The sequence below is a fragment of the Homo sapiens genome, chromosome 14, assembly GCF_000001405.40.
Source record: "Homo sapiens chromosome 14, GRCh38.p14 Primary Assembly".
In the NCBI taxonomy this organism is placed as follows: Eukaryota; Metazoa; Chordata; class Mammalia; order Primates; family Hominidae; genus Homo; species Homo sapiens.
In genome coordinates this window covers 81,532,346-81,553,931 of record NC_000014.9, presented here as the reverse complement: position 1 = coordinate 81,553,931, position 21,586 = coordinate 81,532,346, and the positions used below count along the sequence as shown (strand labels likewise).

General features: G+C 40.8%; 1 protein-coding gene across 5 annotated transcripts in view, besides 4 other annotated features; it reads left to right on the top strand.

The window, feature by feature from the left end:
- Nucleotides 3,748–3,827: an enhancer, noted in NCBI's record as "active region_8830". NCBI's record gives its function as "activates an Ori minimal core promoter by ATAC-STARR-seq in GM12878 lymphoblastoid cells {active_cell/tissue: GM12878}" and the evidence as "EXISTENCE:reporter gene assay evidence [ECO:0000049][PMID:35858748]".
- Nucleotides 15,333–16,005: an enhancer, noted in NCBI's record as "NANOG hESC enhancer chr14:82004271-82004943 (GRCh37/hg19 assembly coordinates)". NCBI's record gives its function as "activates a minimal SCP1, AML or CMV promoter by ChIP-STARR-seq in naive H9 embryonic stem cells {active_cell/tissue: H9 hESC(naive)}" and the evidence as "EXISTENCE:reporter gene assay evidence [ECO:0000049][PMID:30033119]".
- Nucleotides 19,792–20,291: an enhancer, noted in NCBI's record as "H3K27ac hESC enhancer chr14:81999985-82000484 (GRCh37/hg19 assembly coordinates)". NCBI's record gives its function as "activates a minimal SCP1, AML or CMV promoter by ChIP-STARR-seq in primed H9 embryonic stem cells {active_cell/tissue: H9 hESC(primed)}" and the evidence as "EXISTENCE:reporter gene assay evidence [ECO:0000049][PMID:30033119]".
- Nucleotides 19,956–20,075: a silencer, noted in NCBI's record as "silent region_5987". NCBI's record gives its function as "represses an Ori minimal core promoter by ATAC-STARR-seq in GM12878 lymphoblastoid cells {active_cell/tissue: GM12878}" and the evidence as "EXISTENCE:reporter gene assay evidence [ECO:0000049][PMID:35858748]".
- Nucleotides 20,079–21,586, top strand: part of SEL1L (SEL1L adaptor subunit of SYVN1 ubiquitin ligase) — a 62,307-nt gene continuing 60,799 nt past the window's right edge. For all 5 annotated transcript variants that reach the window (XM_047431676.1, XM_005267988.4, XM_005267989.5 and 2 more), the window contains exon 1: nt 20,079–20,257. In XM_047431676.1, the coding sequence (XP_047287632.1) occupies nt 20,188–20,257 (70 nt within the window). In that variant the 5' untranslated portion in view covers nt 20,079–20,187. The remainder of the gene's footprint in view (nt 20,258–21,586) is intronic.

Below are 21,586 nucleotides of genomic sequence, written 5' to 3'. Positions count from 1 at the left end.
ATTCTGGAACATTCCTGGCTCAGCCTTCTTGACACCATGAGCATGCTTTGTAGGAAGTGGCCATGTGTTTGTCACCAACAGCCACAGTCCTGGGAGCCTCAGGCCATTTTTCCCCAGGAGCTGCCTCTACCTGAAGCCGACCATGACAAGCGGTTCTTCCCTGGTGGTGCACACCTGTAATACTAGATACCCAAGAGGCGAGGCATAAGAATTGCTTGAACCTGGGATGTGGACTCCAGCCTGGGCAACAGAGTGAGCCTCTGTCAAAAAGAAAGAAAGAAGGAAGGAAAGGAAGAGGAAAAGGAAAAGAAAAAGGGAAAGGGAAAGGAAAAGGAAAAGGTAAAGGAAAAGGAAAGAAAGAAAGAAAGAGAAATTACCACAAACTTAGTGGCTTAAAACAACACAAATGTACTACGTTATAGTTCTGGATATCAGAAGTCCAAAAATGGTCAGGTGCAGTGGCTCATACCTGTAGTGTCAACTACTTGGAGGCTGAGGTAGGAAGATCACTTGAGCCCAGAAGTTCAAGACCAGCCTGGACAACATAGTGAGGGCTCATCTCTTTTAAAAAGTGAAAAAAGTTAGCCAGCTATGGTGGCATGCACCTAAAGTCCAGCTCCTCAGGAGGTGGAGGCAGGAGGATGGCTTGAGCCCAAGAGATCAAGGATGCATTGAGCCATGTGTGCACCATTGCACTCCAGCCTGGGCAACAGAGCAAGACCTCACCTCTTAAAAAATATTTAAAAAAATTTTTGTGACGTCCAAAAGTGAATCTTACAAAGGTAAAATCAGGAAGTTGTCAGGGCTGTGCTCCTTCTGAAGGCTCTAGAGGATAACCATTCCTTACCTTTTCCATATTCTAGAAACTGCCTGCATTCCTTGGTTCACGGCCTTCCAGCAACGGCACCACTCCAACCTCCGCTTGCATCATCACATCTTCTCCTTTTGACTTTGACCCTCCTGCTTCCCTCTTATAAGAACACTTGTGATTACATTTAGAACCCGTCTGGAGAATACAGGAGAATCTCCCCATCTCAAGAAGCTTAATGCAATCATATCAGCAAAGTCCCTTTGGCCACGTAAAGAAACATATTCACTAGTTTGAGATTAGAACATGAACCTCTTTGAGGAGGAGGCATTATTCTGCCTAGCACAAAGCATAATTCATATACAATAAAATGCTTGGATCTTGAAGATGCAATTCTATGAGTTTTGACAAATATGTATACTCGTGTTACCCACACATGAATGAGATTATAGAAGATTTTCATCACCCAAAAATTCCCTCCTGCCCCTTTCCAGTCAATTATTCCCCTGCCCACTCTTACCCCAAGCAACTGCTATTCTAATCTCTATTGCTGCAGATTAACTTCCGTATTTTTTTTTTTTTTTTTTGAGACAGAGTCTCGCTTTTGTCTCCCAGGCTGGAGTGCAGTGGCGCGATCTCAGCTCATTGCAACCTCTGCCTCCCAGGTTCAAGCAATTCTCCTGCCTCAGCCTCCTGAATAGCTGGGATTATAGGTGCCCGCCACCACGTCTGGCTAATTTTTGTACTTTTAGTAAAGACGGGGTTTCACCATGTTGGCCAGGCTGGTCTTGAACTCCTGACCTCAGGTGATCCACCCGTCTCGGCCTCCCAATGTGCTGGGATTACAGGTGTGAGCCACCGCGCCCAGCCAGCTTCACCTATTCTTGAGCTCCGTATGAGCGGAATCATAAAGTATGTGCTCTTTTCTGTCTGGTTTCTTTCACTTGGCATAATATTTCATGTTTCATTCAGCATAAGATTCATCCATGATGTTGCACATGTCATTAGTTCTTTCCTTTTTATTGCCAAGTAGTATTTCATTGTATGAATGTACCACAGTTTATCTCTTCACCAGAAGGTAGACATTGAGTTGTTCCAAGATCTTCATTATTATAAACTGATATTGCAAATATAGCTTCTGTCAACATTTTTGCATGAGATGTTTTGTGGGTAAATGATTTCATCTCTCTTGAACAAATAATAATAAAAAATGCTGGGCTATAGGATAGGAATACGTTAAAATTTATAAGATATACTGCCAAACAATTTTTCACAGTTGTACACTTTTACAGCTCTATCAGTTTTATCTAAGAGTTTCAATTGCTCCATATCCTCATCAACATTTCACATTGTGAAGCTTTTAAATTTTAGCCATTCTAGCTGAAGTAAGTGATATTTCATTATGATCTTAACTGGCTTTTCCTTAATGACTAATGAAGCTGAAAATCTTTTCATGTTTCTACCTGCATATTTTCTTGGCGAGGTGCCCGTTCAATCATTCCTGTTTTTTTGTGTGTGTTTTTATTATTGAGTTCTTATATTTATAATATGGGTTATATCATATTTATATTGCTTATATTATTTAATACATATTCAATTTGCATGTTTTATTCTACGTAGTATTTATAATATATTCATTATAATTTATTGAGTTTTTCATATATCTTAGAAACATGTTCTCTTTAAAATACATGTACTACAAGTATTTTTTCCTATTTTCTCTGTGGCTCATTTATTCATTTACACAGAGATTTGAATATAGAGAGATAGATATAGGAATGACTACAGATGTGTGTGACTGTGTATATGTGTGTGTATGTATGCATATGTACACACTCACACACATCTATACCCCCCCACACACACACAAGAGAAGCGCATACATATATATTTCTCAGTTATATCTGCTAAGAGATTTTAGAGGCAATAACACCTCAGTAGCAGTAAGCACTCCGCGGATATAGATACCATTTTCCACTGAAGGGAGAGCACGGCTCCTTGGAGAAGTGGTTGATGTCAGGGCTGGGTCAGGAAAAGTAGAAAAAATGTAAATAGTACAAAAATGTAAGGATGTGCTCAAAGAATGATGGGAATATGTCACAAAGATATAGGTGTCCCTTTGAAGGGGTACCCACTGGTCAAATCTGAAATAATCTGATGATAGTAAAGAATTATAACCTATTGAATAAATTAAGAATCTAACAGTCCACACCAATGTAAATTAGTTAATTAAATGAAAAAATAAATAAGAAGAGAAAGCTCTGCCTACAGGAGAAAGCCAATGATAAACATAAGAGGAATGATAGAAAAATCACCATTTGGCAGCCATCATAATAATTTTTCATTCAGGCAAGAATCATGACTATATATGGTAAATTGGTGGGTAAATGTTTGATAACTCATGAGATAGTTACATAGTCTTAAAGTATCCCCTACAAGATACCTATTAATTACAAAAGGTAAAATACAGTGAAAACACCTCTATACCTAATTGATCAAAATAATCATTGCCAGAATAAGGACTAACCAACAGCATTTGCCTCCTGATACGGTGCACTGAGAATTCAGAATCGTTTTTGTGGTGTTCTTACCAAAAGTGCATAACCTGAATCTAATCATGACACAAACTGAAATTGGCACATTTTACAAAATTACTGGCTTATGCACTTTCAAAATGCCGTGTCATGAGACTCAGGAAAACATACACAGACACACACTCTCTTTCTCACACACATACTCCCCTCAAGAACTGTTCCAGGTGAAAGAAAACTAATGAGATGTGACAAACTGGACACACTTCATGATCTTGGATTTTCTTTTATTAGGAAGGACATCATTATGGCAAGTTGGTGCAATCTGAATAAAGTCTGTAGATTAGACAACAGTATTGGATCAGCATTAAGTGCCTGACTTTGACAACAGTCCTGCAGTTGTGTACGAGAATTGCTTGTTTTCAGGAAATGTACACTAACATAATTGGGGGGAAAAGCATCATGTCTGCAACCTACTCTCAACTGTTAGGCTGTTTATTTTAATCACATATGTGTGTGCCTGTGAAAATATTTTTCATGTATTTACATAAAATATATCTTTATATATCACATATATTTTGCCAACTGCAGCCCTTTGGTTAACATTTATGTTATGTCAACATGGCATAGCTGGGAGAATAGGAAATGGTCCAAAAGCCTTGTTTTGCATCATGAATGTTTTCTAAACTTACTCTCAATTAATTTGCATTTACGGTAATATTATTTCCCTTGTTTGAAGATCTTTTTCTTAACAGCTATTTTGCACTTATCTATCTCCATTTCTTTTTTAATTTTTTAAGAAACTCCACTACATACATACATATATATATATGTGTATACATATATACACATATATATATATGTATGTAATTATACTTTAAGTTCTGGGATACATGTGCAGAACGTGCAGGTTTGTTACATAGCTATACACGTGCCATTGTGGTTTGCTGCACCCATCAACTTGTCATCTATATTAGATATTTCTCCTAATGCTATCCCTCCCCTAGCCCTGCACCCTACAACAGACCCCAGTGTGTGATGTTCCCCTCCTTGTGTCCAAGTGTTCTTATTGTTCAACTCCCACTTATGAGTGAGAACATGCGGTGTTTGGTTTTCTGTTCCTGTATTAGTTTGCTGAGAATGATGGTTTCCAGCTTCATCCATGTCCCTGCAAAGGACATGAACTCATGCTTTTTATGGTTGCATAGTATTCCATGATGTATATATGCCACATTTTCTTTATCCAGTCTATCATTGATGGGCATTTGGGTTGGTTCCAAGTCTTTGCTATTGTGAATGGTGCTACAATAAACATACGTGTGCATGTGTGTTTATAGTAGAATGATTTATAATCCTTTGGGTATATACCCAGTAATGGGATGGTTGGGTCAAATGGTATTTCTGGTTCTAGATCCTTGAGGAATCACCACACTGTCTTCCACAATGGTTGAACTGATTTACACTCCCACCAACAGTGTAAAAGCGTTCCTAATTCTCCACATCCTCTCCAGCATCTGTTGTTTCCTGACTTTTTAATGATCGTCATTCTAACTGGTGTGAGATGGTATCTCATTGTGGTTTTGATTTGCATTTCTCTGACGGCCAGTGATGATGAGCATTTTTTCATGTGTCTGTTGGCTGTATAAATGTCTTCTTTTAAGAAGTGTCTGTTCATATCCTTCACCCACTTTTTGATGGGGTTGTTTGTTTTTTTCTTGTAAATTTGTTTAAGTTCCTTGTAGATTCTGGATATTAGCCCTTTGCCAGATGGATAGATTGTAAAAATTTTCTCCCATTCTGTAGGTTGCCTGTTCACTCTGATGGTAGTTTCTTTTGCTGTGCAGAAGCTCTTTAGTTTAATTAGATCCCATTTGTCAATTTTGGCTTTTGTTGCCATTGCTTTCGGTGTTTTAGTCAGGAAGTCTTTGCCCATGCCTATGTCCTGAATGGTATTGCCTGGGTTTTCTTCTAGGGTTTTTATGGTTTTAGGTCATATGTTTAAGTCTTTAATCCATCTTGATTTACTTTTTGTATAAGGTGTAAGGAAGGGGTCCAGTTTCAGTTTTCTGCATATGGCTAGCCAGTTTTCCCAACACCATTTATTAAATAGGGAATCCGTTCCCCATTGTTTGTTTTTGTCAGGTTTGTCAAAGATCAGGTGGTTGTAGATGTGTGGCATTATTTCTGAGGCCTCTGTTCTGTTCCATTGGTCTATATATCTGTTTTGGTACCAGCACCATGCTTTTTGGTTACTGCAGCCTTGTAGTATAGTTTGAAGTCAGGTAGTGTGATGCCTCCAGCTTTGTTCCTTTTGCTTAGGATTGTCTTGGCCATTCAGGCTCTTTTTTGATTCCATATGAAATTTAAAGTAGTTTTTTCTAATTCTGTGAAGAAAGTCAATGGTAGGTATAAGTTATAAATTACTTTGGGCAGTATGGCCATTTTCACAATATTGATACTTCCTATCCATAAGCATGTAATGTTTTTCCATTTGTTGTGTCCTCTCTTATTTCCTTGAGCAATGGTTTGTAGTTCTCCTTGAAGAGGTCCTTTATATCCCTTGTAAGTTGTATTCCTGGGTATCTTATTCTCTTTATAGCAATTGTGATTGCTGTCTGTTTGTCTATTATTTGTGTATAGGAATGCTTGTGATTTTTGCACATTGATTTTTTTTTTTTTTTTTTTTTTTTGAGACAGAGTCTCACTCTGTCGCCCAGGTTGGAGTGCAGTGCTGTGATCTCGGCTCACTGCAAGCTCCGCCTCCTGGGTTCACGCCATTCTCCTGCCTCAGCCTCCCCGAGTAGCTGGGACTACAGGTGCCCACCATCAGGCCTGGCTAATTTTTTGTATTTTTAGTAGAGATGGGGTTTCACGGTGTTAGCCAGGGTGGTCTTGATCTCCTGACCTCGAGATCCACTGACCTTGGCCTCCCAAAGTGCTGGGATTACAGGCGTGAGCCACCACACCCGGCTGATTTTTGCACATTGATTTTGTATCCTGAGACTCTATTGAAGTTGCTTATCAGCTTAAGGATCTTTGGGGCTGAGACGGTGGAGTTTTCTAAATATACAATCATGTCATCTGTAAACAGAGACAATTTGACTTCCTCTCTTGCTATTTGAATACCCTTTATTTCTTTCTCTTGCCTGATTGCCCTGGCCAGAACTTTCAATACTGTGTTGAATAGGAGTGGTAAGAGAGGGCATTCTTGTCTTGTGCCAGTTTCAAAGGGAATGCTTCCAGCTTTTGCCCATTCAGTATGATATTGGCTGTGGGTTTATCATAAATACCTCTTATTATATTCCATCAATACCTAGTTTATTTAGAGTTTTCAGCATGAAGAAGTGTTGAATTTTATCGAAGGCCTTTTCTGCATCTATTGAGATAATCATGTGGATTTTGTCATTGGTTCTGTTTATGTGATGGATTATGTTTATTGATTTGCATATATTGAACCAGCCTTGCATCCCAGGGATGAAGCTGACTTGATCGTGGTGGATAAGCTTTTTGATGTGCTGCTGGATTTGGTTTGCCAGTATTTTATTGAGGATTTTCGCATGGATGTTCATCAGGGATATTGGACTGAAATTTTCTTTTTGTTGTTGTTGTGTCTTTGCCAGGTTTTGGTATCAGGATGACACTGTCCTCATAAAATGAGTTAGGAAGGAGTCCGTCTTTTTCTATTGTTTGGAATAGTTTCAGAAGGAATGGTGCCAGCTCCTCTTTGTACCTCTGGTAGAATTCGGCTGTGAATCCGTCTGGTCCTGGGCTTTTTTTGGTTGGTGGGCTATAAATTATTGCCTCAATTTCTTTTTTTTTTAAATTATACTTTAAGTTCTAGGGTGCATGTGCACAATGTGCAGGTTTGTTACATATGTATACATGTGCCATGTTGGTGTGCTGCACTCATTAACTTGTCATTTACATTAAGTATATCTCCTAATGCTATCCCTCCCCCCTCCCCCCTCCCCCTACCCCACGACAGGCCCCCGTGTGTGATGTTCCCCACCCTGTGTCCAAGTGTTCTCACTGTTCAATTCCCACCTATGAGTGAGAACATGCGGTGTTTGGTTTTCTGTCCTTGCAATAGTTTGCTCAGAATGATGGTTTCCAGCTTCATCCATGTCCCTACAAAGGACATGAACTCATCCTTTTTTATGGCTGCATAGTATTCCATGATGTATATGTGCCACATTTTCTTAATCCGGTCTCTCATTGATGGACATTTGGGTTGGTTCCAAGTCTTTGCTATTGTGAATAGTGCCACAATAAACATATGTGTGCATGTGTCTTTATAGCAGCATGATTTATATTCCTTTGGGTATATACCCAGTAATGGGATGGCTGGGTCAAATGGTATTTCTAGTTCTAGATCCCCGAGGAATCACCACACTGTCTTCCACAATGGTTGAACTAGTTTACAGTCCCACCAACAGTGTAAAAGTCTTCCTATTTCTCCACATCCTCTCCAGCACCTGTTGTTTCCTGACTTTTTAATGATTGCCATTCTAACTGGTGTGAGATGGTATCTCATTGTGGTTTTGATTTGCATTTCTCTGACAGCCAGTGATGATGAGCATTTTATCATGTGTCTGTTGGCTGTATAAATGTCTTCTTTTGAGAAGTATCTGTTCATATCCTTTGCCCACTTTTTGATGGGGTTGTTTGATTTTTTTCTTGTAAATTTGTTTGAGTTCTTTGTAGATTCCGGATATTAGCCCTTTGTCAGATGGATAGATTGTAAAAATTTTCTCCCATTCTGTAGGTTGCCTCTTCACTCTGATGGTAGTTTCTTTTGCTGTGCAGAAGCTCTTTAGTTTAATTAGATCCCATTTGTCAATTTTGGCTTTTGTTGCCATTGCTTTTGGTGTTTTAGTCATGAAATCCTTGCCCATGCCTATGTCCTGAATGGTATTGCCTAGGTTTTCTTCTAGGGTTTTAATGGTTTTAGGTCTAACATTTAAGTCTTTAATCCATCTTGAATTAATTTTTGTATAAAGTGTAAGGAAGGGATCCAGTTTCAGCTTTCTACACATGGCTAGCCAGTTTTCCCAGAACCATCTATTAAATAGGGAATCCTTTCCCCATTTCTTGTTTATGTCAGGTTTGTCAAAGATCAGATGGTTGTAGATGTGTGGTATTATTTCTGAGGGCTCTATTCTGTTCCATTGGTTTATATCTCTGCTTTGTACCAGTACAATGCTGTTTTGGTTACTGTAGGCTCATAGTATAGTTCCAAGTCAGGTAGCGTGATGCCTCCAGCTTTGTTCTTTTGGCTTAGGATTGTCTTGGCAATGCAGGCTCTTTTTTGATTCCATATGAACTTTAAAGTAGGTTTTCCAATTCTGTGAAGAAAGTCGTTGGTAGCTTGATGGAGATGGCATTGAATCTATAAATTACCTTGGGCAGTATGGCCATTTTCATGATATTGATTCTTCCTACCCATGAGCATGGAATGTTCTTCCATTTGTTTGTGTCCTCTTTTATTTCGTTGAGCAGTGGTTTGTAGTTCTCCTTGAAGAGGTCCTTCACATCCCTTGTAAGTTGGATTCTTAGGTATTTATTCTCTTTGAAGCAATTGTGAATGGGAGTTCACTCATGATTTGGCTCTCTGTTTGTCTGTTATTGGTGTATAGGAATGCTTGTGATTTTTGCACATTGATTTTGTATCCTGAAACTTTGCTGAAGTTGCTTATCAGCTTAAGGAGATTTGGGGCTGAGATGATGGGGTTTTCTAAATATACAATCATGTCGTCTGCAAACAGGGACAATTTGACTTCCTCTTTTCCTAATTGAATACCCTTTATTTCTTTCTCCTGCCTGATTGCCCTGGACAGAACTTCCAACACTATGTTGAATAGGAGTGGTGAGAGAGGGCATCCTTGTCTTGTGCCAGTTTTCAAAAGGAATGCTTCCAGTTTTTGCCCATTCAGTATGATATTGTCTGTGGGTTTGTCATAAATAGCTCCTATTATTTTGAGATATGTCCCATCAATACCTAGTTTATTGAGAGTTTTTAGCATGAAGGGCTGTTGAATTTTGTCGAAGGCCTTTTCTGCATCTATTGAGATAATCGTGTGGTTTTTTTCTTTGGTTCTGTTTGTATGATGGATTACGTTTATTGATTTGCATATGTTGAACCAGCCTTGCATCGAGGGATGAAGCCCACTTGATCGTGGTGGATAAGCTTTTTGATGTGCTGCTGGATTTGGTTTGCCAGTATTTTATCGAGGATTTTCTCATGGATGTTCATCAGGGATATTGGCCTAAAATTCTCTTTTTTTGTTGTGTCTCTGCCAGGCTTTGGTATCAGGATGATGTTGGCCTCATAAAATGAATTAGGGAGGATTCTCTCTTTTTCTATTGATTGGAATAGTTTCAGAAGGAATGGTACCAGCTCCTCTTTGTACCTCTGATAGAATTCGGTTATGAATCCGTCTGGTCCTGGACTTTTTTTGGTTGGTAAGCTATTAATTATTGCCTCAATTTCAGAACCTGTTATTGGTCTATTCAGGGATTCAATTTCTTCCTGTTTTAGTCTTGGGAGGGTGTATGTGTCCAGGAATTTATCCATTTCTTCTAGATTTTATAGTTTATTTGCATAGAGGTGTGTATAGTATTCTCTGATGGTAGTTTGTATTTCTGTGGGATTGGCAGTGATATCCCCTTTATCATTTTTTATTGCATCTATTTGATTCTTCTCTCTTTTCTTCTTTATTAGTCTTGCTAGAGGGCTATCAATTTTGTTGATCTTTTCAAAAAACCAGCTTCTGGATTCATTGATTTTTTGAAGGCTTTTTTGTGTCTCTATCTCCTTCAGTTCTGCTCTGATCTTAGTTATTTCTTGCCTTCTGCTAGTTTTTAAATGTGTTTGCTCTTGCTTTTCTAGTTCTTTTAATTGTGATGTTAGGGTGTCAATTTTAGATCTTTCCTGCTTTCTCTTGTGGGCATTTAGTGCTATAAATTTCCCTCTACACGCTGCTTTAAATGTGTCCCAGAGATTCCGGTATGTTGTGTCTTTGTTCTCATTGGTTTCAACGAACATCTTTATTTCTGCCTTCATTTCGTTATGTACCCAGTAGTCATCCAGGAACAGATTGTTCAATTTCCATGTAGTTGAGCAGTTTTGAGTCAGTGTCTTAATCCTGAGTTCTAGTTTGATTGCACTGTGGTCTGAGAGACAGTTTGTTATAATTTCTGTTCTTTTACATTTACTGAGGAGTGCTTTACTTCCAACTATGTGGTTAATTTTGGAATAAGTGTGATGTGGTGCTGAGAAGAATGTATATTCTGTTGATTCGGGTTGGAGAGTTCTGTAGATGTCTATTAGGTCTGCTTGGTGCAGAGCTGAGTTCAATTCCTGGATATCCTTGTTAACTTTCTGTCTTGTTGATCTGTCTAATGTTGACAGTGGGGTGTTAAAATCTCCCATTATTATTGTGTGGGAGTCTAAGTCTCTTTGTAGGTCTCTAAGGACTTGCTTTATGAATCTGGGTCCTCCTGTATTGGGTGCATACGTATTTAGGATAGTTAGCTCTTCTTGTTGAATTGATCCCTTTACCATTATGTGATGGCCTTCTTTGTCTGTTTTGATCTTTGTTGGTTTAAAGTCTGTTTTATCAGAGACTAGGATTGCACCCATTTGGTTTTTTTTCCACTTGCTTGGTAGATCTTCCTCCATCCTTTTATTTTGAGCCTATGTGTGTCTTTGAATGTGAGATGGGTCTCCTGAATACAGCACATGGATGGTTCTTGACCCTTTATCCAATTTGCCAATCTGTGTCTTTTAATTGAGGCATTTAGCCCATTTACATTTAATGCTAATATTGTTATGTTTGAATTTGATCCTGTCATTATGATGCTAGGTGGTTATTTTGCCTGTTAGTTGATGCAGTTTCTTCATAGTGTCAATGGCCTTTACAATTTGCTGTGCTTTTGCAGTGGCTGGTACCGGTTTTTCCTTTCCACATTTAGGCTTCTTTCAGGAGCTCTTGTAAGGCAGGCCTGGTGGTGACAAAATCTCTCAGCATTTGCTTGTCTGTAAAGGATTTTATTTCTCCTTCACTTATGAAACTCAATTTGGCTGGATATGAAATTCTGAGTTGAAAATTTTTTTCATTAAGTATGTTGAATATTGGCCCCTGCTCTCTTATGGCTTGCAGGGTTTCTGCAGAGAGATCCACTGTTAGTCTGATGGGCCTCCCTATGTGGGTAACCCGACCTTTTTCTCTGGCTGCCCTTAACATTTTTTTCCTTCATTTCAACCTTGGTGAAACTGACAATTATATGTCTTGGGGTTGCTCTTCTCAAGGAGTACTTTGTGGTCTTCTCTGTATTTCCTGAATTTGAATGTTGGCCTTTCTTGCTAGGTTGGGGAAGTTCTCCTGGATAATATCATGAAGAGTGTTTTCCAACTTGGTTCCATTCTTCCCATCACATAGTCCCATATTTCTTGGTGGCTTCATTAATTCCTTTTCATTCTTTTTTCTCTAATCTTGTCTTCACACTTTATTTCATTAAGTTGATCTTCAATCTCTGATATCCTTTCTTCCACTTGATCGATTTGGCTATTGACACTTGCGCATGCTTAACGAAATTCTCATGCTGTGTTTTTCAGTTCCATCAGGTCATTTATGTTTTTCTCTAAACTGGTCATTCTAGTTAGCAATTCCCCTAACCTTTTTTCAAGGTTCTTAGCTTCCTTGCATTGGGTTAGAACATGCTCCTTTAGCTCAGAGGATTTTGTTATTACCCACCTTCTGAAGCCTACCTGTCAATTCGTCAAACTCATTCTCCATCCAGTTTTGTTCCCTTGCTGGTGAGGAGTTGTGATCCTTTGGCGGAGAAGAGGCATTCTGGCTTTTGGAATTTTCAGCCTTTTTGTGCTGGTTTTTCTTCATCTTCATGGATTTATCTACCTTTGGTCTTTGATGTTGGTGACCTTCAGATGGGGTCTCTGAGTGGACGTCCTTTTTGTTGATGTTGATGCTATTCCTTTCTGTTTGTTAGTTTTCCTTCTAACAGTCAGACCCCTCTACTGCAGTTCTGCTGGAGTTGGCTGGAGGTCCACTCCGGACCTTGTTTTCCTGGGTATCACCAGTAGATGCTGCAGAACAGCAAAGATTGCTGCCTGTTCCTTCCTCTGGAAGCTTTGTCCCCGAGGGGCACTGGCCAGATGCCAGCCAGACCTCTCCTGTATGAGGTGTCTCCTAGTCAGGAGGCAAGGGAGTCAGGGACCCACTTGAGGAGTCAGTCTGTCCCTTAGCAGAGCTCGAGCACTGTGCTGGGAGATCTGCTGCTCTATACAGAGCCAGCAGGCAGGAACACTTAAGTCTGCTGAAGCTGCGCCCACAGCCGCCCCTTCCCCCAGGTGCTCTGTCCCAGGGAGATGAGAATTTTATCTATAAGCCAGTGACTGGGGCTGCTGCCTTCCCTTCAGAGATGCCCTGCCTGGAGAGTAGGAATCTAGAGAGGCAGTCTGGCCACAGTGGCTTTGCCGAGTTGCAGTGGGCTCCATCCAGTTCAAATTTCCCTGTGGCTTTGTTTACACTGTGAGGGGAAAACTGCCTACTCAAGGGTCAGTAATGGCGGATGCCCCTCCCCCTACCAAGCTCAAGCATCCCAGGTCAACTTCAGACTGCTGTGCTGGCAGCAAGAATTTAAAGCCAGTGGATCTTTGCTTGCTGGGCGCTGTGGGGGTGGGATCCACTGAGCTAGACCACTTGGTTCCTTGGCTTCAGCCCCCTCTCCAGGGATGTGAATGGTTCTGTCTTGTTGGTGTTCCAGGAGCCACTGGGGTATGAAAAAAAACTCCTGCAGGCTGAGGCATGAGAATTGCTTGAACCCGGGAAGCAGAGGTTTCCGTGAGCTGAGATGGCACCACTGCACTCCAGCCTGGGTGACAGAGTGAGACTCTGTCACGAAACAACAACAAAAAAAAACCCAGAAAAACAGAAATAAATCTTAAGGAGAGTAAGCAGCTAGCTCAGTATCTGCCCAAACGGCCACCCAGTTTAGTGCTTGAACTCCAGGGCCCTGGTGGTGTAGGCACCCAAGGGAATCTCCTGTTCTGCAGGTTGCAAAGACTGTGGGAAAAGCATAGTATCTGGGCCAGAGTGCACCGTTCCTCACAGCACAGTCCCTCGTGGCTTCCCTTGGTTAGGGGAAGGAGTTCCCCAACCCTTGCGCTTCCCAGGTGAGGTGACACCCCAGTCTGCTTTGGCTTACCCTCTCTAGGCTGCACCCACTCTCTAACCAGTCCCAGTGAGATGAGCCAGGTACCTCAATTGGAAATGCAGAAATCACCCATCTTCTGCATTGATCTCGCTGGGAGCTGCAGACCAGAGCTGTTCCTATTCAGCCATCTTGCCAGCCACACCCATCTATCTCCATTTCTAACCGGCATATGAATTTCCTCTGAATAAACCTTTGAGTACAATGGTTTTCATTGGTTATTTCAGCATTATATCCAAACAATGAATTTAAAAGTTTGTGTAATTAATTTGGTCATTCCCATGCAGGAGAGGATCTCCAGGCCATTACACAGGTCACACCTGGAGATAGCCTGTTTCAAAGTCATCAAAAGTAGCATTTCACCTTCCCCTTTATATCAGCCTAAAATCCTCAGACCATCTGGCTTCAATCACTGCTCAGACCTCACAGCTTCCTACCTCCTCCACCCCTCCCACCTTCTTCTGCAACCATAGAACCCCTTCGTGTTTTTAGAAAACAACAGACATGCTCTTGCCTTGGAAATTTTACACAGCATGCTCCCTATTCCTGGACAGCTCTTCTCTCCCATATCTTCATGGCTGGTTCTGTCATCTTCTTAAGTCTTTGCTCAAATGTAAACTTTACAGGAAATCCTGCCCCGACCTCCTCATTTTAAATTTTAATGCCCTTGCTCCAAGATTCTTATTCTTCTTCCCTGCATTATCTTTTTTTCCATAGCATTTATCACTTCCTAATTTTATAATTTACTTATTTATTTTTGTCTGTTTTTCACTCTATTTAGAAGGTAAACTCCATGGTTTTTTGTTTTTTATTCATTGCTCGAGCCCTCATCAAGAACCAGGTGTGTCACACAGCACGTGCTCAGAAAGAAAATAAAGGGCAGTCTCTAACAAGCAGAGTTGACCTGGCACTCAGAACTAGGGCATATTATTTTCTGATTAGACATAAGCAATCCCACAGAAAACCAACTCTAGACAGGTTACTTGAGACCAGGATACAATGAGACAAGTCAAAGTCATTTTATAACTTTAAGCACAGACCCAAACAAGGTCCCTGTGCCACCCACAAAACACCAAACACCTCCTGTCTTGGCCAAAATGAGTGAATGCTACTTCTTTTCTACTTACAGCTTTATCCTCATTCTTGTCTACTCTCCTTAAGATTTATTTCTGTTTTTCTGTTTTGTTGTTTTTGTTGTTTTGTGACAGAGTCTCACTCTGTCACCCAGCCTGGACTGTAGTGGTGCCATCTTGGCTCACAGCAACCTCTGCTTCCCGGGTTCAAGCGATTCTCATGCCTCAGCCTCCTGAGTAGCTGGGACTACAGGCGTGCACCACCATGCCTTGCTAATTATTGATTTATTTCTATCAAATCATGGTGTTGCAGGAAGCCAGGGACCCTGAACAGAGGGACAAGCTGGAGCCGAGGCAGAAGAACATAAATTGTGAAGATTTCATGGACATTTATCAGTTCCCAAAATTAATACTTTTATAATTTCTTATGCCTGTCTTTACTGCCATCTCTGAATATAAATTGTGAAGATTTCATGGACATTTATCACTTCCCTAATAATACTCTTACAATTTCTTATGTCTGTCTTTACTTTAATCTCTTAATCACGTTATCTTCGTAAGCTGAGAATGTCTGTAACCTCAGGACCATTATTGTACAAATTGATTGTAAAACATGTGTTTGAACAATATGAAATCAGTGCACCCTGAAAAAGAACAGAATAACAGTGATTTTCAGGGAACAAGGGAAGATAACCATAAGGTCTGACTGCCTGCGGGGTTGGGCAGAATAGAGCCATATTTTTCTTCTTGCAGAGAGCCTATAAACGGACATGTGAGTAGGAGAGATATCGCTGAATTCTTTTCCCAGCAAGGAATATTAATAATTGATACCCTGGGAAAGAATGCATTCCTGGGAGGAGGTCTATAAACGGCTGCTCTGGGAGTGTCTATCTTATGTGGTTGAGATAAGGACTGAAATACACCCTGGTCTCCTGCAGTACCCTCAGGCTTACTAGGAGTGGGAAATTCCAGCATGGTAAATTCTAGTCAGACTGGTTTTCTGCTCTCGAACCCTGTTTCCTGTTAAGATGTTTATCAAGACAATACGTGCACAGTGGGACATAGACCCTCATCAGTAATTCTAATTTTGCCTTCGCCTTGTGATCTTTATTGCCCTTTGAAGCATGTGATCCTTGTGACTTACTCCCTGTTCATACACCCCCTCCCCTTTTAAAATCCCTAATAAAAACTTGCTGGTTTTGCAGCTCGGGGTCATCATCATGGTCCTACCAATATGTGATGTCACCCCCAAGAGGCCCAGCTGTAAAATTCCTCTCTTTGTACTCTTTCTCTTTTTCAGACCAGCCAACACTTAGGGAAAATAAAAAAGAACCTATGTTGAAATATTGGGGGCTGGTTCCCCCGATAGAAGGCAGGGGCACTTCTAACAGCATCCAATCTAGAGCAAACCCAACTTCCTTAGTCTCTGACAAATCACCCAATCAAAGCCCAAATTCTAAGATAGGTTCTTTCTAATACCCTCCTACGGAGATACCTTATGGTGTATTTTTTTTCCACACTGCAATGAGTAATAAAGCCAATGTGCTCAACTACAGGAATGTTCCTGTATATTTGTGGAAGGAAGGAAGGACCTGTGAAAATAATGTTCCTAATGCAACATTCACTAATTAAATACATTGCTATCTACTCAAGGGTTAACTGAATTTAATGGGAGCTCTAAGCTGTTTATCTCTACCTTATAAAGTTCACTTCATCGAGTTCTTATTTAAATTTAGTTATAATCCAGTCTCTCCCTGGAACTAGCAGTTAACAAATTTATGAAAATATTGGACCCAAGGATGCCTGTCCAGTTATTTAGGGTAAAAACATATCCTGGCCTTTCCTTTATCTGGTATGAGTCAACACTGCTCAGAGAACACACATGTCCAGAGCAAATGTCACCTCACGATGAAACTTGGTAAACAGCCTGAGGCTCCCTCCCCCCTTTCATCTTCTATCAGCTTCAAACATTAGGTAGATCAAACATACTCCTCCACAATCTATGATCTGCAATCCAAACTTAATGCTCTTAATTATAATCATGGAAACTGGCATGAACACCCAAAACTTATTAATTTGATCACTTTGATCACCTGCCATATGCTGTCCTGAAGTTAGGAGGGATAAGATGAGGTATAAGTCCATTGTTCATTTACTCCAAGAGCTCAGAATATAAATAAGAAGATGCCAGGTTCTATCTCACTATATAATGCAAGAGTTTATATTTTCATTTATGCATGAAAACTTTAATTTACCTCATCTATAGGAAAGAAAGTACATTCTTTTCTAAGCCCTGAAGGGAAAAATATTCTGCTTCTTGCTTCTCCCTAATCCTGCCCTGGCAAATACCTTAATACAAATGCTGACAGTCTTGCCTATTACCAATTCAAATGGAACGCAAAGAAAAGCACAGGAAAGGATATATCCCACTAGAGTTGGTGACAATTGCCCCATTCTCAGGAAAAGTCTCTGGAGGTTGTCTCACCATCCTTAAGTGAAAAGCAAGTTGGATTTATGTCCTCAACACGTTCAGGTTCTCAGCATTTGTTAATTGCTTGATTCATTTCAATGGCATGAGGTTACATCAGTGTCATCTGCATTAAAAGGTGTTTATTACCTACCTCTGTTGAGTGCTATGCTGTGCTGCAATGCAGAGCAAACAGGTTTTCTGCAACTTGGAAATCTCTGACAATGACCCAGAATGCTGATATGGACAGATGGAATAAAGACAGCTGAGCAAATATTGAAGCAGTCTAAGAATTAATAAATAATATTAACATTTTGTACAAGTACATAACCTTAACTGGGAATGCTGGCAGGTAACCTTGAGGAGTGTATGCACAGACTGGATAGGCCATGGAGAATTCACAACCTTTTTTCTAATTAATCTCATGTAATATAGCAGGCTGATAAAATAAATCTGACTTTCCCACAGCATATTCTGAACCACTTTGGAGACTTGGAACTTCCCCAGGAAGTCAGGTCCTATGAGAATTCTCAGAGCACGTCAGCTACTCATTGCTGGCTAAAGGCAAAAGCTCTAGCAGCTCTAAGCCCTTTTCGCATTAAGGGTATAAAACTAATTTCCCTCCTTCGCCTCAACCAAGCAATCAATAAGAAACAATACTATATGTAAAACATCCTACAATGTAGAAAGTGCTTTTATCCTGTGTCTCCATTTTGAATCTCACAACAGACAGGCAAGACATATCTATCAACCAATAAATAATTAACTAGTGCTAGTGGTGGCAAGTCCAGCACTATATACCTATACACAGAATCACATGATCATCTCCAGCCTCAGCATGTTTACAATCTGTTTATAAGGCAAGATTGTGAGTGTTCAATAGATTCTTAGAGAAATGAAGATTAATGAGGACAGATCTGGTTGGAGAAGTGTGATCCAAGACGAAATGTGAATGAAATTGGGAAGGATGCCAGAGTTATGGCTAAGTGAAAGAAGCAAGGGCAGTTGGAGAAAGGGTAGAGGAACCCTTAGGAAGACATGATTGTGTTAATGTGAAATCTGGAAAGTAAAACGGAAGTGGCTATTTGGTCCATGCAGCAGCACCCAGAACAACCCTTAAATATAAGACGTACTCAGTAAAGACAAAACTGAAAAAAGAAGTTGGGGCTTAACTAAGCAGCAAACTTTCCCCAGTTTTAATCAAACAGATAATCACTGGCTCTTCTGTAGAAGGCAGAAGTTTCTTCCCTGGTACTTCCCCAACAGAGTAGAACTGTCAGCACAGTTCCTATTTTGTGAGTAGAATAAGTTCTAATTTTTTTTATTCTGTGAAAAGTGTAGCCATTGAAAATTTTCAATAGGCATATGAAAGCAGTGTTTAAGGAAAATTAATATGGCCATGATATGTGATTCAGGTTAAAGGGAGAATGATGTCAGTGAGTATGGCTGGAACTCAGGTGCATCATCCAGGTGAGAGAAAATGAAAGCCATTAGGGGAGTTTTCAGTGAGGAAGAGAACAGAGGTACATAATAAAATAAAACAATTTAAAAGTTACATAGTTTAAACTGATAGAACTTGATTATCAATAAGATGAAAAAGAAAGGAAAATATACCAGATTTTACTCTATGATTTATAATCAGAGGAACTCAGAGGGAACATTGTTAGTGACAGAAATGGTGATGTAGCTGAAAAGACAAGTTTTTGGAGGAGATAATTCTTTCCTTCATCTCCTCCGATGTGAATGAGAAACAGTGGTTGGTTTTTTACCATCTTCCTGAAAATAAAAGGCTGTATCTCAAAAAACAAAAAACAAAAAACAAAAAAAAAAAGGAAGGAAGACAAATGCCCAGAAGTGTTAAGACACATGGCCAGCAGAGACTTTTCCAAAGTCCTTCACTTGGCTGGACTAGGTTCTAGGCCTTAGAGCTGACTGTGGGTGGATGACAGGGAAAGCAGAATGACACGGTTTGAGAAAAGAAAGGGCAGGCACACCAAGTCACTGCTCTGCTACTCAGTTGGAACATGCCTGGATTTCGTGCTTATTACATAGAGTATTTCCGTGCCTGCGATGCAATCACTATCACCTCTACCTCCACACACGTGAACCTGGTCTCCTGACTTTAGTTAGGAAAGAAGAGAACAATGCAACTCACAAGAGGAGAAGGATGAGGACAAGTGTTTAAAATAATTTTTCAAAGCTGTTGGCACATTTTCTTTATGATTATTGTCTGGTGAACCTAGTGAAAATAAATACTGTATTGAGATAATCTGTGCCGAGCGGATTTATTTCCTTTTGTTTTGTCGGAGAAAGGAGGACAGGTACTGAGTTGCACCCTGGTTTCCGTACTTCACGGTACTGTTTTATCTAAGTTTTAAAAAACACCTCAAATTCAACTAGCTGTGGCATTTTTCTCAGTGCTCTTATCACTATGCCCAATTTAAATTTTTTAAATAAAACAGGAAAAGATGCTAAACACATTACAAGTTCTTAAAATTATTCCTTAATATTTATTTTGGGTCAATTTAAAAAGGCTTGTGAATCCATAGCCTTGAGTTAATATTTAGCCCAGGTGTTAGTTAAATTCTAACTTCAACAGTCACCCGCACTTGTAAATCTTGCCCTACGATGGACTACGTTTCCCAAGAGCACCCCCCGAGTTAATCACATGAAGCGCATTCTGGGAATTGTAGTCTCGGATGAGCCTCTTTCTCCCAGTCTTGGACTCACGCGCTGATTCCGGTTGAACCCAGGGGCTACCAATTAGCTGGGGCCATGTCCGTGAGTCGTGGTCCAACCGAGAAAGCTGGTGTGGGAGCTTCGTACAATGATTGGCCAATGAATGACCCCCGGGGCGGAGCAATGGGGGTGGGCGGGGAGACCATGGTGATTGGACCAGAAGCCCGCGACGGCGGGCGGGGATTGGCTGCGCGCTGGGTCAGGGAAGCCTGGGAAGGGGCGGAGGAAGGAGACTAGAGCAGGAAGAGCAGCGGCGAGGCGGCGGTGGTGGCTGAGTCCGTGGTGGCAGAGGCGAAGGCGACAGCTCTAGGGGTTGGCACCGGCCCCGAGAGGAGGATGCGGGTCCGGATAGGGCTGACGCTGCTGCTGTGTGCGGTGCTGCTGAGCTTGGCCTCGGCGTCCTCGGGTCAGTATCCGCCCCCTCGGGCTGAAGGCCCAGAGCCTCCGCCCCCCAGCCTCTACAGCCGGCGGGGCCGTGGGGACTCCAGGCTCGGGACCCCGTTCTCCCTGGGCACATCTCGCACTGGGCTGTCACTCGCTCTTTGGCTTTGCTTGGCCTGCGCCAAAGGGGCTATTTAGGAAGGTGGAGTGGGGTGGAAAAAGAAGGGGCGGTCACCCTGCCCACACCTCTCTCCCACGTAACAAACTTTGCGCGACTCTTCTCACGAACGCGGAATTGACTCCAAAGGAATGAATCCTGATACAGGAGCCCGAGTGGAGCTTCCTCGACCCTGGGGTAGAGGAAGGGTCTGGTCTAGAACTCTGGGCTTGGGAATTGTAAGTTAAATAATTGACAAACCTGGAGCTGTCACTTTGGGGCAGAGGAGGATCCATCCAGACCAGGATGTTGACAGTAGTTTGCTTAACACCTGAGATGGTCCCTGGTCTGTCTGTTTAAAAACGAAGACTTTTGATCTCATCGTAGCCACTTTTTACTTTTTTGAAACCTTCCTGAGAAAGCGGTGACCTGTCACAGTGTTTCTGAGTTGCCCCATGTTTGTTGACAGTCATTTTATGATGTTTGGGAAAATCTTGGTTCTTATAAGATGCGTTTTATATAGATACAGAAATTTGTGTGCTTTTGAATTGATTTTCCAGTTAGCTAATGTTTATTCTGGTTCTGCTTTTTTCCCCCTTTTTTAATGTTTTAATCTGCCTACATTTGAAAATTTCCATTTTGAGAGTGTTCATGAAAACTTCGTGTTTCTAAGTGTTGATAAATAAAAATTAGTACAGTAAAACTTTGGAATTTTAATCAGTTTCAGTTAACAGGACAGGTGTTCTGTGGCTTGACGTTTTGGGGGGACAACACGGAGTATAAATGTCAGCTTTTTCTTTTTTTAATAAATGTCAGCTTTTTTTTAACAGAAAATTTCCCAGATGGTTATCTGAATCCCCAAATTACCTGTCCTAGTTGTAAATCAATGCCATAACGTCATTCTGCTTCTAAAATAAGAGGCTTAAACCTAAATTCTATCCATGATGTGGTTTGAGATACCATTTCAAAAGCACCAACCCTATGCTAATTACTTTACTGCCAACATCATTCTTTCAGGTCCACTCCCCTCCCTCCAGTAGTAGTGATGGTTTGAGTTAATGACCAGATCTTTAGACTATACTTAACTCTCGAAGCACTTTTAGCAGTTATTTAATATTTGATCAAAAAGCATGAAATGAAGCTGTTGAGCTTAATGAGTAGAGTACCTGCTGGACCATGGACCTCCTGCATCAGAAT